The following is a 14,611-nucleotide window of genomic DNA, read 5'->3' as shown; positions in this document are numbered from 1 at the left end:
TGAGAAAATTATATGCCCATCTGCAGAATCAGATATTTTGTAAAACATATTACATTTTTTATGTTTTCAATATTACGCCCAAATATTTTGAAAAGGATCTTTCTCTTAACTACTGTTAACTTTACCCATTATTTATTATTAAGTAGTCCTATTAATATAGTCATATCAGACAAGTGATATTAATGTGTGCAACCATCTGCGTGCAGCCGTAGTCTTTTTTTTTTCAATAGACTTTACTTTTTAGTAGTTTTAGGTTCACAGCAAAATTGAGCCATAGTCCTTTTTAATAGTAATCAGACATCATGATAGTGTTTGTTAAGGAATCTATTTCTGCTTTCAATTGCAGTGTATATAGAAAATGTATTTTGCAGTCTCATTTTTTTATAATTGTTCTTTCAAAGTATTACCATTTCTACTGAATATAATATGTACAGTTTCATTATGAAGGAATTTACTAAGTAATTAACTGAAGTGAAACATAAAAAAAAATGGGTTTTACTGATGCTCTAAAAGAGAGAAGGCATTTTTTGAAATCTTTTTCATGTCGTGGGAATAGGAGTGTCAATGTGTGTCTTGTGATTTGTTATTCTGTTTTTACTGCTTTAGGATTGAAAACTTTTACTTAATGTATTTCACATTTTGGTGGCTTCAAACAGGATGAGAATTTTTTAGGTCTATTTTGAAAAAGCTGTGACACAAATGTGGGACATATACACATGCCAAAAATGTGTATAAATTGTTGAAGCTTCAAGGAGACATTAGTTTTTATAGACAACATTTATATTCTTGTCTTCATTGTTATTTAAAGTAGCTTCTATGCTAATTAATGCATCAATTACTACTGAACATGACTTGCTTATAAATTCAAAAGTATTTGTATAATATTAACATTCACTTTTGGGGAAAAGCGTAGAACCCTTCAGAATCAAATTTCTGATTTTAAAATCAAAATTTACCATGCCTCATTTTTCTCCACTGTTAAAACTGGCTAGGCTTTGAACTGGCACTTCTTATTCTTGGGAGGAAGGGTAGAGATTGTCTTAGGTTGGGCTGCAATGAAAGAATCCAAGACCACAAAGCTTGCATTTTAAATTTCAATAAAATTATTTGCTTCATGTCAGCATTAAGAAGACTTAAAATTTTGGTATATTTTGCACTTTCAGAAAGTTATCTTAAGAGTTAATGTAATGGAACTGCATATTGATATTTAAATTAAGAAAAAATTCTTACTGTTTGCATTTTGTTTTTTTCTTTTCTTTCCTTTTTTTTTGCTTCCTACTGAAGTGTTTACATTTTAATATATTGTCAACTAGGGCCTAAATGATACTATTTAATTGAATGGCTTTGGTATGTGTTAGTGATATTCTAAGAATATATTTAGTGTTTTTGGTGGGAGTATGTGATAGATTTTTAAAACTTTGTTATGGAAAACCTCAAACATTTACAAAGTAGATAGAATCACGTAATGAACCCTAATCTCTTGTCCTCACTCATTTAATGTCATGTCTAGTCTGTTTTATCTTACTTGTTTTTTATTTTTGGGACAGAGTCTCGCCCTAGTCTCCTAGGCTGGAGTGCAGTGGCGCAATCTTGGCTCACTGCAACCTCCACCTACCAGGTTCCAGCAATTCTCCTGCCTCAGCCTCCCAAGTAGCTGGGATTACAGGCGCCCACTACCACACACAGCTAATTTTTGTATTTTTATTAGAGACGGGGTTTCACCATGTTGGCCAGGCTCGACTCGAACTCCTGTCCTCCCTCAGGTGATCCACCCGCCTCGGCCTCCGAAAGTGCTGGGATTACATGCGTGAGCCACCACGCCCAGCTAGTCTGTTTTATTTTATACTATTCCATATTACTTTTCTCCCCACTTCTCCAATGATCATGAAGGGAATCCCAGACATCATATAATTTCATTGATAAATATTTCAATGTGTAACTCTAAAAGAGAATACAAGTTATTTGTATTCCCTGCGAGTACTAGCTTTGTTGTGGGGAGGAAGTTCATGAGTGCTTGGAAACAGTCCTGTCATTGTATTTTATTGTAGTTAATTTGCATTTAGAAAGATCAAGAGTGTGTATTATTTGGGTATTATTAACAGTAAATCTCAAAGGATTTGAAATGTTGAATCTGTAAATAACAACAATGAAAACATTATGAATTACCGTCATGTATATGCATGAAGTTATGTGACGGTCCTCATTTCAGAGGTATACTACAATTTGCTTTGTCATTTGTTTCTATCCCCCTCTATAATATGTTTATTTAAATGCTGATCATATAGCATTTAGTTTCAGGTGATATTCTATATTCCTCTATGTGTGTCATAAAAAGAAAGAGAAAGGTGAGAGAGAAGGGAGAAAGGGAGAGAGAAGGAAGGAAGGAAAGGGATATGGGACTGAGAAAAGAGAAAGATCAGAACATGGTAAAGACCACAGATGAGATGCCAAATTGTGGAGCTAAAACCTCACCTTCTTCTCATTCTCACTCACCTGACCTCTCTCTTGGTCTTTCCTCTCCCCTGGTCTTTCCTCTCCCCTTTTGTTGGTCTCCTCATTGGTTTATATCTTCTTCTCTTGGCATTTACTGAACTTTGCCTGTCAAATTTAGGTCAGGAAGATTGCTGATTTTTCTCCTTAAAAGATGTTTTTATTATGTAGGAGTTGTGAGATAAAATTTAAACAAAATATTTTAGGACTGATTTGTTGTGCTTTATGTGCTTTTATATAGATTTTTAAGAATATTTATTGAAAGGAATTCAAATAGGTGCCTCCTATGGACTAGGCTGAACCTTTCTATTCTCTGGATGAATTTTATGGACACATTAATTTTCTATAATCTTTGGGTTCACTTTAAGTGGATTTACTGGAAAATTGTATAATAATTTTTTCTTTTTCTCTGTGTTCCTTTTTGCCGTCTGTTTACTGGATGAAATGGATTCTGTTCAAATTTGACTGCAGTTCACAAGATTCCTTTGCAGTTCACCCTTGGAGGTAAGAGTTACTCACTGACCTTAATATTAGAATTGGTAATTGAACACCATTGTTGATATCTTTCATTAGGCATTTATTTGATAATTTAGGAGTGCTCATTTTGGTGGGACACATATATTCTTCAATAACAGTAATGGAGTGAGTTACTGCAGGCTTTTTTTTTGGATAAAAGTTTCTAGAAGTTATATCAATAGCAATTCACTTTCATGACAGGTTATTGCCTCTTTTTAAGTATATTTTCTTTCTGAATAAGTAGAGAGAAATCAGTCCTTCATTTTAAAGAGGCTTGTTGTATCTTCATTACTCCTGTAACTGTTTATTTAACAGCAGCCTTATGTTCTGTAAATTGCCATGGTATTAAAAGAGAGCTGGAAAAATCAGAGGCAAAGGCTGTCTTCAAGGAAGTTTCAGTTAGAGAGACCACTTTAAAATCCATGAGTTGACAAGAGAAGAGCAAAGTTATTGAGGTGCTGTTATAGCAAGGCAATATTCTGGGTTCTTCATTCACTTTTTCATTTAATCCTCATCATGGTTTTCAATGTAGAACTGAGAATCCAGTGATAAAATTGTGAGATAAAGAAAAACTATTAGATGTTTAGAGAACTAGATATCGTTATGAGCTGCATTTGCAGAAAAACTTGTAGATGATCATCAAGACTTGGAAAAGGAAGTAGAGAAAGGGTGGAAGCAGAGTTATGTGAAGAAGTGGTGGGACTTAGAACCGAAACCGGGTAAGACCTTGCCTTCACTTACTAGCTATATGACATTGGGTAAATCACAACTGCCCTGAGCCTCATTTTTGTTATCTTTTAGATGCAAATAATAATTCCTACCTCTCAAATAAGTGATGGAAATGGGAGCAGTTATAAACTGTGCTAGTCACATCATGGCACTATTTTGTGTTCTCCTCTTAGGCTTCAGCTCCACGTGATGAGACTCTGTTCCTTGCCTTGCACTTGTCCTTCCCTTTGTGCCTATTGTTTATTTCATTTTATGCTTTCCCAACTTCTTCAAATCATATTCGTCTTCAGGGTTGAGCCTCAATACTGTGTCCTTCCTGAGACCATTTCTGCTTTTATAACATTTTGTTTATTTGATTATTGAAACTATTATTGCTGATAATGTGGTGTGGCCTACACTGGCGCATTGAAAACGTGTGGTAGCCAGCCTGAGTGGTCACCAGGAGAAATGGACCAGACCAGAGAGGGTAGTCCCATCCAGGTTTGGTCACATTGTCTGAGTATCCAGGATCAACGGGGAAGCAGAGTGGTATAGTGGAAAGAGTCTAGGCTTTGAAATGAGAGAGGCCTGAGTAGCCCACGGGCAAGTCATTGACTCTTGAGCCCTTTTCCCTGATCTAAAAATGGAGATAATAATACTTACAGGGATATTAAAATTAAATGAGATGATCTGTGGCAAACACTGAGCACAGCGTCTGGCAGATAGAATTTTAATTAAGAGTTAGGTGTGAAGTGAAAACCAAACCATAAAAAAGTTGAAGACAATATAAGTTTTATAGCCCACTCTATAGTTATGGAAGCACTTTCTAACTTCAAAAGCAATGGAAAGTATCAAAAAACAAAGAGTGAAAAAATTAATTTGAGTATGTAAAGATCCATAATTTTGTACATGAAAACAAATATAGCTAAAAGGTAACTTGGATAAAGTATGATGAAAGGGTTATACTTAATGTAATGATCTTCTAGAAGCAATTAATATGAATTTCTTTTTCATAAAATGTGGTTGGATTTTTATCAGGTAATTGATAAGATAAAATACAAATGGTAATAAATGTGTTTTAAATGTTTACTCCTATTAGTAATAAAAGAAATGCAGTTTAAAATGACAGTGATCTATAATTTTTTTTTAACCTATCAAGATATCTTATTTTTTAAGTGAATGCTTGACAAGATATAATGAGATGGGATGTTTATAAACTTCATCCTTTCTAGGAAGCAGTTTGGTCACATACACTAAAGGCTTTATATACATTCATACCTGTGGTTGAGTAATTGTAGTTCAATAATCACTGTCAGAGAGTTCATCAAAGATGCGGACAAAACTTACATAAAAATGAATGGTAAAAAATTGTAAACAATCTAAATGTACAACAGGAACACGTCAAATAAATTATGACACAGCCATATGATAGAACACCCTACAACCATTAAAATGGAGAATATGTGTTCGGAGTATATATTGATGAATAACACATATAAAATACATTTGATATATTGAGAGGTAAAAGCACGATGCAAAATTATACATGCAGATCTCAGTTTAAACACAATTTAAGTGCACAGAAAAGTAGAAAGGAGATGCACAAAATGTTAACAACTACAAAGTGTTGTTTTATCCTTTACTCTTCCAGTAAAGGGCCCACAGTGGGTAGAGGTGCATTGGTAGCTTTTTGGTAATGCTTCTTATAATCAGTGTTTGACAGGTGTACAACGGGAGTCTCTTTGATTTGATGTGGAAACGGCATCTAACCTTGGGAAAAAGGGGCTGGCAGGAACTTAGATGAGATAATGTTGATAATGTATAATGCTTTGCTCTCATTTTAGCAAAAGATTAGAGGAATGAACAGGAATAAGGGTTTTTAGCAGAAGGCAATTAGGCTGGGTTGGCTTTCCTGTACAGGGACCAAATAAGGAGGCTTGAGCTTGACGTCCACTTTACTGGGGCAAGTAGCAATTTAAGGCTACTACTCACCGATGGCAAAGATGCTTCTTAATAAATCTTAACAGTTGACGTCTCTCAAATGTAAGCTCATTGAGAGAGGACCCTGTTTTTCTTGTTTTATTGCTTTCCCATTCTTAGTATAGGTAGAATATAGTAGGCACTGAGTCAATAAATATTTGTTCAATGAATGAATGAACAAATGAATGAATGAATTTGGTGGGGCTAAGACTGAGAGTAGCAGTCTTTCATCCATAATTTGGTAGGACTCAGCTAAAAGTAGACAAGTTCCAATATTTACATTTTAATGTAGTTAACAGTCTGTCTTCCCAGTTAGACTGTACCTACTTAAGATTGAGAGCTTTGTCCTTTGTAATCTTCGGATGCTCTCAGTTATAGATAGGTCTTGGAGTGTACCTAGAGTACACTAGCTGCAGCTAGAGTATATAGAATATACAAATTTTTTTTTTTTTTTTTTTTGAGACAGAGTCTTACTCTGTCACCCAGGCTGGAGTGCAGATAGCACTATCTCAGCATACTGCAGCCTCTGCCTTCCATTTGAAGCAATTCTCCTGCCTTAGCCCCCCAAGTAGCTGGGATTACAGGTGCCTGCCACCATGCCTGGCTAATTTTTATATTTTTAGTAAAGACAGGTTTCACCATGTTGGCCAGGCTGGTCTCGAACTCCTGACCTCAAGTGATCCACCCGCCTGGTCCTCCCAAAGTGCTAGAATTACAGGTGTGAGCCACTGCGCCCGGCCACAAATATATACTTTTAAATTACATATTACTACTCTGGTTAAGTATTGGGAATATATGTGTGGAAGTTTCACTCTTTGGTGAAAAGTAGTATCCAAAGTTTAATGATAATTTCTGTCTGTTTCTGTCTGCTTTCATCATTTAATGATCTGGAGTGGTATTTACCTTGGTTAATTATCTTTTTTATTACTGGGTTTATGACATTGGAGAGGAAGAGAAATCAAAATTAAAGATGACCAATGTAAGTCTCCTTTCTTGATGGGAAATATTTTGAGGGCTTTCTGTTGATATTTTTCTAGTTTGCAATTCCACAGGGGCCACTTGAGGACTTAAGTTAGTGGCAGCTACCCCTAAGTCTCCACCAGCAGCACTAAGCAGGGGCTGCTGTTCCTTTGCCACCACATAGCTCCTGACAGCCAAACCAAAGGCAAGGCAGGAGAGTGCTGGGAATCTCTGAATGTTTAATTTTGCCATTAAGCTTATGACTTAGCTGGAGAAGGAAAATTACAAATATGGTCTATACCCAGCACCTTCTTTAATTTTGAATAAAAGTCAAATTATTCTGGCAGAGACAGTAAAATACATGAGAGTTGCAGTTGAAAACAAAGCCGACTTTAAACTTCACTTTCTCCACAATGACTACTATGAGTGAACCATGTCCCTTTGTTGTAAGTCCTAAACAGTTAACTGCCACATGAATCTAATGAAATTGTCAGGTTATAGTAATTACATCAGTAATTTGATATGTTGTCATTTGAATGGACCATGTGTGGAGAGTCAGTTACTTCCCTCTGTGGGGCTGACCCTTTTACATTCCTGTAAGCTGAAGACTAATAGAGCTCATTAAGCTTTATGGGAAAAGAGCTTTTATCACCTCGTCAAGTCAGGCAACATATTTCCATTAGATCCCTAATTTCGGGTGGCTCTGTAGCTGCTGATATGTACTCCCCTGCTAGGCTTACACCGGACCCCGGCCTTACAGACATTTTTATTGACATTTCTAAGTCTGAATTACATTTTGTGTGGCACCACTTACAGATGTCTTCAATTAAATGTGGGTAAATAAAAGGGATTATATATCAGAGCCCGAAAGATTCTTGAATTTCTCATCTGAGTCAAACTTTGCCAGCTAGTCCAGTAGGGCACAGTCTCATTGTCACTTTTGTAGGTAGAGAGCTATAGGAGAGGCATTTATAACAAAAGTTAAACCAGGTGTGAATGTAGGTCACCTAGGTTTCTCTTCAGGTGTGTCCTTCTGTTCCTTCATTTCAAAATTTTCTGTATTAATAGGATAATAACTTACTGATAAGTTAGCACCTCTGGTGTACAGGTACTGTGCTTTCCACTTCCCTTATTTTAATTCTTACAGAATGTCAATGAGGTAGATATTCCCAGTTTTCTTATGAAGAAAATTGAACCCAGAGAGGTAGATTAGGTAGGTGCTCAATATCACAGCTACTAGTATGTGACAATAATCACAAGATAGGAAGGAAATAGAATGTGGTTAAGATTCTAACATTACATGAAGTGATATGATAGTATTTGAAAGAAGACCGTGATTAGTTAGGGAGTATTTAGTAAGCCCCAGAGCAGGGTTTCTCAACCTTGGTACTATCAGCATGGTGGGCTGGATAATTCTTTGTTGTGAGGAGCTGTCCTGCACATTATGGGAAGCTTAGCATCTCTGGCTTCTGCTCACTAGATGCTAGTAGGACTCACCCCTCTGAGTTGCAACAAAATGTCTCCAGACTTTGCCAAATGTCCCTAGGGGGACAAAATAGCTTCCTGTTGAAAACCACATCCCTAAAAAAGCCTTAAAAAAAAATACAAAGAGGTATCGTTAATAAGCCAATTTAATGATAAAATGTTTCAGTCCAACAAAAGACGAGAAAAAGTGAACAAAAAACATGTGGGACAAATAGAACAAATAGCAAGATGGCCCACTTAAATTCAACCCTACTGATTATGATGGTACTAAATATAAATGGTCTAAGTGAAAACTCTGCTTCATGGTAATTTCTGTTTCTGAACGTCTGCACGTTCAACACTAGCCAATGGTCATACATCAGGGGTCCCCAGTTCCCAGACTGGGACCAGTACTGCTCTGTGGCCTGTTAGGAACTGGGACACTCAGCAGGTGAGCAGCGAGTGAGCGAGCATTGCTGCCTGAGCTCCACTTCCTGTCAGATGTGCTGTGGTATTAGATTCTCATAGGAGCATGAACCCCATTGTGAACTGCCCATGTGAGGGAGCTGGGTTGTGAGCTGCTTATGAGAATCTAATGCCTGATGATCTGACTTGGAACAGTTTCATCCCTATACCTTCCCCTTCTCCCCTCTGACCCTTGTCTGTAGAAAAATTGTCTTCCACGAAACCAGTCCCTGGTGCCAAAAAGGTTGGGGACTGCTGTCATACATTAGCTAATGAGCTCTTTGGGAACTGAATTTTAAATTTTTTAAATTTTAGTTAACTTAAGGCTAAGTGGCCACATGTGGCTAGTGACTATACTATTAGGGCAGATTGGAACATTCCAATTAAAAGTCAGAGATTGTCAGGCTAGATAAAAGGAAAAAATCAACATCCATCTTAAATACAGAGACATGGATAGGTTAAAAGTAAAAGGCTAGAGTAAAACACTACTATACGAATACTTATCCTAGGAAAGTTGGCTTATGCCTGTAATCCTAGCAACTCAGGAGGCTGAGGCAGGAGGATCAGTTGAACCCAGGAGTTTGAAACCAGCCAGGGCAACATAATGAGAACCCCCATTTCTAAAAGAAAAATAAAAAAATTATCTGGGCGTAGTGGCGTGTGCCTGTAGTCCCAGCTGTGAGAGAGACTGAGGTGGGAAGATCATTTCAGCCTTGAAGTTTGAGGCTGCAGTGAGCTATGATTGCACCACTGCAGTTCAGCCTGGGCAACAGAGTAATACCACATCTCTAAAAATAAAAATGAAAAAAAAACTTAAGAATTTTAAGTCAGAGTGGCTGTATTCTTATCAAAGTAGACTTCAGGGCGGCTGGGCGCTGTGGCTCACGCCTGTAATCCCAGCACTTTTGGAGGTCGAGGCAGGTGGATCACAAGGTCAGGAGTTCAAGACCAGCCTGGCCAATATGGTGAAACCCTGTCTCTACTAAAAATACAAAAATTAGCCGGTGTGGTGGCGGGCGCCTGTAATCCCAGCTACTCGGGAGGCTGAGGCAGGAGAATCGCTTGAACCCGGGAGGCGGAGGTTGCAGTGAGCCAAGATCGTGCCACTGCACTCCAGCCTGGGTGACAGAAAGAGACTGTCTCAAAAAAAAAAAAAAAAAAAAAGTAGACTTCAGGGCAAAGTTGGAAGAAAGAGTGACATTTCATAACAATAAAAAGGTCAGTTCATCAAATGAATATGCAGTAATTTGAAATGCGATCCACTTAATAGAGCCTCAAGATAACATGAAATAAAAACTAATAGAACTGAAGGGAGAAATGTAGTAGTTGGGGACTTCAGGACAACTTTCTCAGTAATTGATAGAACATTTAGACAGGAAATTAGAAGTAAAATAGGAAGCATGAACAACACTACCACACAGTATGCTCAAGAGTAGCAGTGCATGGGGTGTTGGCTAGCTATATGTATACCCCCCTTTAATTGCATGCAAATTAAAGGGTGGGTTATTCAGAAATCTCTAGAAAGGGGGCAGTAACTTCCGGGTGTTGCCATGGTCTTTGTAAACTGTCATGGCACTGGTAGGAGTGTCTTATGCCAATGAACAGCAAGGGCAACTAGAGGTCACTTTTGATGCCATCTGCTGGTTCCTGCTGGTTTTTTCATTTCATTCTGTTGGGACCGGCAAATAAGTCCTACAGGTTTCCTACCTCAGTAGTATTCATTTGGCTGTTAGGAAGAAAAGAGGCCTGGCGCGTTAGCTCATGCTTGTAATCTCAGCACTTTGGGAGGTTGAGACAGGTAGATCACTTGAGCTCAGGAGTTTGAGACCAGCCTGGGCAACATGGCAAAACCACGTCTCTACAAAAAAAAAAAAAAAAAAAAAATTAAAAAAATTAATCAGTTGTGGTAATGTGTGCCTGTAGTCCCAGCAATTCTGGAGGCTGAGGTAGGAGGATCACCTGAGCCCAGGAGTTCAAGGCTGCAGTAAGCCTTGATCACAACACTGCACTCCAAAGAAAGAAAAGAAAGAACCATAGGAACCTAACCATCTCTTGAGTCTGTCAACGTAAGAAGTATCATTGCTTGGAGTAGCTGTAGATATCAAGGTCTCTCCAATGGCTAGAATTCAGAAGGAATGGCTGTTACTCAAAACTGGGTCCTGTACGGAGCTTGCAGAGTCAGCAGTAAAGGGATGAGGTGGTCGGAAGGTTGAGTCGTTAAGCTGAGGAAGGGAGTTAATTTTACTGAACGAAGAGAACACCGAAAATCAAATATCCAGAAAGCTGGCCCAAATTCGAGAGCAGTGGAGATAAGGCTAGGAAGAGGGCTGAGCTGGTGAATTGGGGGAAGCTTTTACCTGCTCTCTGTTCTAAGGCCTGGGAGGCTCAGCTGTGTTTAAAGAGCCAGGCCCCGGGAACAGAGAGGTAACTACTCGGGGGACTAGACATCTTCAGAGAATAATTGGCACTCTGCTCTTGGTACTGAATTGAATCAGAAGCAGAAAGCTAGGCTGTGGCTTGATCATTTGGGCAAAAGCAGAAAATAGGAGTACATTGTTGTTGTTAACCCTAGTCATGAGGGCTTACGGTACTTCAGTTAGTTTTTGGATGTGACCTGATAATTGAGTCAGTGTAAGTTGCAGCCATATATCTCTTTTTTTTTTTTTTATTATACTTTAAGTTTTAGGGTACATGTGCACAATGTGCAGGTTAGTTACGTATGTATACATGTGCCATGCTGGTGCGCTGCACCCACTAACTCGTCATCTAGCATTAGGTATATCTCCCAATGCTATCCCTCCCCCCTCCCCCCTCCCGCCACCCCACAACAGTCCCCAGAGTGTGATGTTCCCCTTCCTGTGTCCATGTGTTCTCATTGTTCAATTCCCACCTATGAGTGAGAATATGCGGTGTTTGGTTTTTTGTTCTTGCGATAGTTTACTGAGAATGATGATTTCCGATTTCATCCATGTCCCTACAAAGGACATGAACTCATCATTTTTTATTGCAGCCATATATCTCATGATATCAACTGGAAGTCTTTTCCTAGAAACCAGTCCCATATGATAAATATACCAAAGTTGATTTCTGAGAATAAAGTACATTTAGAATAAAAAACTAAACATTAAATAAAAAATGCCAGGAGTTTCCTGGCTGAAGATTTTCCTGCTTGGGGCTTGGATTAGTATAGGCATCTTAAAATCCAAGTCATTTAAGACATCTTTTGGCTGGGTCAGTCTTCCTTTAGCGAGTAGTGGTGTTGCTGCAAGCACCTTTCAGTTGTGTTGAAAATTAGGGTCATCTGCCTTGACAATTTTCATTGCCCATTAGATGTGCATGAATGCTTCAGAAAATGTTTGAATAGAAAATCCTGGGGTGGATTAGTTTCCATGGGGACATCAGTCTTGTTTGATGTTGGCAGTCATTGAGTTCTCAGTCTGGGTTGTCACTGTGGGATGTATTTTTCCCTCATAAGAAATATTGTAAAAGCAGGAATCTCAAATTGAACTGACGACGTTAAGTAAGGGCTCACATAAGCATAGTTACTCTGGATTCTAAGGTGTTTACTAGAGTGCTTAATAAACACTGACCTGTAGAATTGAGAAGTTCGGGATTCTGTTACTTAGCCTTTTTGACAGTGCCTCACTAAAAGTCTTTTTGTTGGAGAATTAGGATTTAAAATAAAAGGAAATGTCAAAGTAAAGAAAATAACTTAAATAACAACGTCCTGATATTTATCTATTTGTTCTGCAGTAAAAATGCAGAAGTAAATTTCTTATTTCTGTCCAACTTATTAAAAACATTTACTGTACTTCCTTTCTCAATTACATAAGCTTGGTAAAGTTTCTTTAAAATTTTTATTTCAGTGCTTCTAGTATTAAGTTGTGAATGTTGGGGTAAACCTTTTTGCTTTCATGGAAACATTTAAATTCCAAAGAATTATGTCATTGACAAATACATTTCTTTGTTCATCCTTTGGTTTAGTAAGTAGTAAGTGGCTAAAATCTCTTACCTCTTGTGTTGACTAGAGCACGTTGATACAGTGTGATTGTGTGTTGGCATGGTGGACTGCAGAAGCAGTGTCCAGCAAGACAGACACTAAACTGAGAGTTGGGAATTTCAGGCTTTGGTCTTTCTTAGCATTCCCCTAAATTGGCTTTGTGGCCTTGAGCAAGCCCCTTAGTCACCCTGACCCTTCCTTTTCTCACTTACAGAGTAAGAGTATTCCAGATAAAGAGGTCCCTCAAAACTAAGTGAACTTAGCCAACATGTCAACACGTATTATAGCGTTTTCTCATTCTTAGATATTATGACCAAAGCCAATAAAAATTCACTTCCCCAACCTACTATACTTTCTCAAGTTTTGTGTCCACTATGCTGTTTTATGTTCTGTAACAAGCTGCCACTTTGGAATAATCCTACTCACATTTTCCTTAAAAAGCAAGTCTTTTTTATAAAAATTATTTTATATTTTGTGAGATGGAGCCTCACTGTGTCGCCCAGTCTGCAGTGCAGTGGCACGATCTTGCTCGCTGCAACCTCCGCCTCCCAGGTTCAAGCGATTCTCCTGCCTCAGCCTTCCGAATAGCTGGGATTACAGGCACCTGCCACCATGCCTGGCTAATTTTTGTATTTTTAGTAGAGACAGGGTTTCACCATGTGGGCCAGGTTGGTCTTGAACTCCCGACCTCAAGTGATCCACCCACCTTGGCCTCCCATAGTGTTGGGATTACAGGCATGAGTCACCATGCCTGGCCTAAAAATCAAGTCTTACACCATTACTCTGCTGACACAAATGTATGTCTCTTACTTTTGCCCTTAATATGGCCTGAACCATCATATTAATTACATCTCTTAATAAAATAATAACTTGTGGCTCACGCCTGTAATCCCAGCACTTTGGGAGGCCGAGGCGGGCCGATCACGAGGTCAGGAGATTGAGACCATCCCGGCTAAAACGGTGAAACCCCGTCTCTACTAAAAATACAAAAAATTAGCCGGGCGTAGTGGTGGGCGCCTGTAGTCCCAGCTACTTGGGAGGCTGAGGCAGGAGAATGGCGTGAACCCGGGAGGCGGAGCTTGCAGTGAGCCGAGATCCCGCCACTGCACTCCAGCCTGGGCGACAGACTGAGACTCCGTCTCAAAAAAAAAAAAAATAAAATAAAATAAAATAATAACTTTTCTTTCATAGGGAGAAATGGGAGATAGCTCATTGAGAAGTAACTGTTTTATATGAGCATTATAACAGACTGAGAAAGTATATAAATCACAAATTTCACAATTTTCTTGCATATCCTTTTTTTCTTTCTTTCTTTTTTTTGGAGACGGAGTTTTGCTCTTATTGCCTAGGCTGGAGTGCAATGGTGCGATCTCAGCTCACAGCATCCTCCACCTCCCAGGTTCAAGCTATTCTCCAGCCTCAGCCTCCTGAGTAGCTGGGATTACAGGCATGTGCCACCACGCCTGGCTAATTTTGTATTTTTAGTAGAGACAGGCTTTCTCCATGTTGGTCAGGCTGGTCTCGAACTCCCGACCTCAGATGATCTGCCCGCCTCGGCATCCCAAAGTGCTGGGATTACAGGCGTGAGCCACCGCGCCCGGCCCTTACATATCGCTTTTATACCTTCTTATATACATTTTAAAGTGGCAAAGATGAGCATGTTTGTTGACAGACCCCAAAGATGTAGCCATTCTGTAGTATATATATAATATATTAAAAAAATATAATATATAAAAATATATATATTATATATATATTATATGTATAAAATATATATATTATATATATATAATAAGGAAAAGTAGGTAAACTTTTAATTATGGTCATTGTTTTAGTGTTTGTTCCTAGTTAGAAACTATTCGGGTATCCAAAGATGATTTAAGTTGTTGATTTACATTAATTTACGTTTTAAAATTACCTAAGGATCTTCAAAGTTATGGTGAAGCCAACCCAAACCAAAACATATAAAAATGTTTGTCATTTGTTCAGCATCACGAGGGGAAATACAAATCAAAACCAAAATGAGAT

At 38.4% G+C, this 14,611-nt stretch overlaps 1 protein-coding gene across 35 annotated transcripts in view; it reads left to right on the top strand.

Annotated features, from left to right (window-relative positions):
• The window catches only part of ATE1 (arginyltransferase 1), a 188,040-nt gene that overhangs the window by 55,464 nt on the left and 117,965 nt on the right, over positions 1-14,611 (top strand). For 26 of the 35 annotated variants that reach the window (NR_110006.2, NM_001439381.1, NM_001439374.1 and 23 more), the window contains one exon: positions 2,962-2,994. The exons of the other annotated variants lie outside the window; for them this stretch is intronic. Coding sequence is in view for 25 of the 26 variants with exons in the window: in NM_001439381.1 (NP_001426310.1) it covers positions 2,962-2,994 (33 nt within the window). In the remaining variant the exon portion in view is untranslated. The remainder of the gene's footprint in view (positions 1-2,961; positions 2,995-14,611) is intronic. 35 annotated transcript variants of the gene reach the window in all.

This window comes from Homo sapiens, chromosome 10 (genome assembly GCF_000001405.40).
Source record: "Homo sapiens chromosome 10, GRCh38.p14 Primary Assembly".
NCBI lineage: Eukaryota > Metazoa > Chordata > Mammalia > Primates > Hominidae > Homo > Homo sapiens.
The sequence above is the reverse complement of the archived record's forward strand: the minus strand, read 5'-3'. Positions and strand labels throughout refer to the sequence as shown.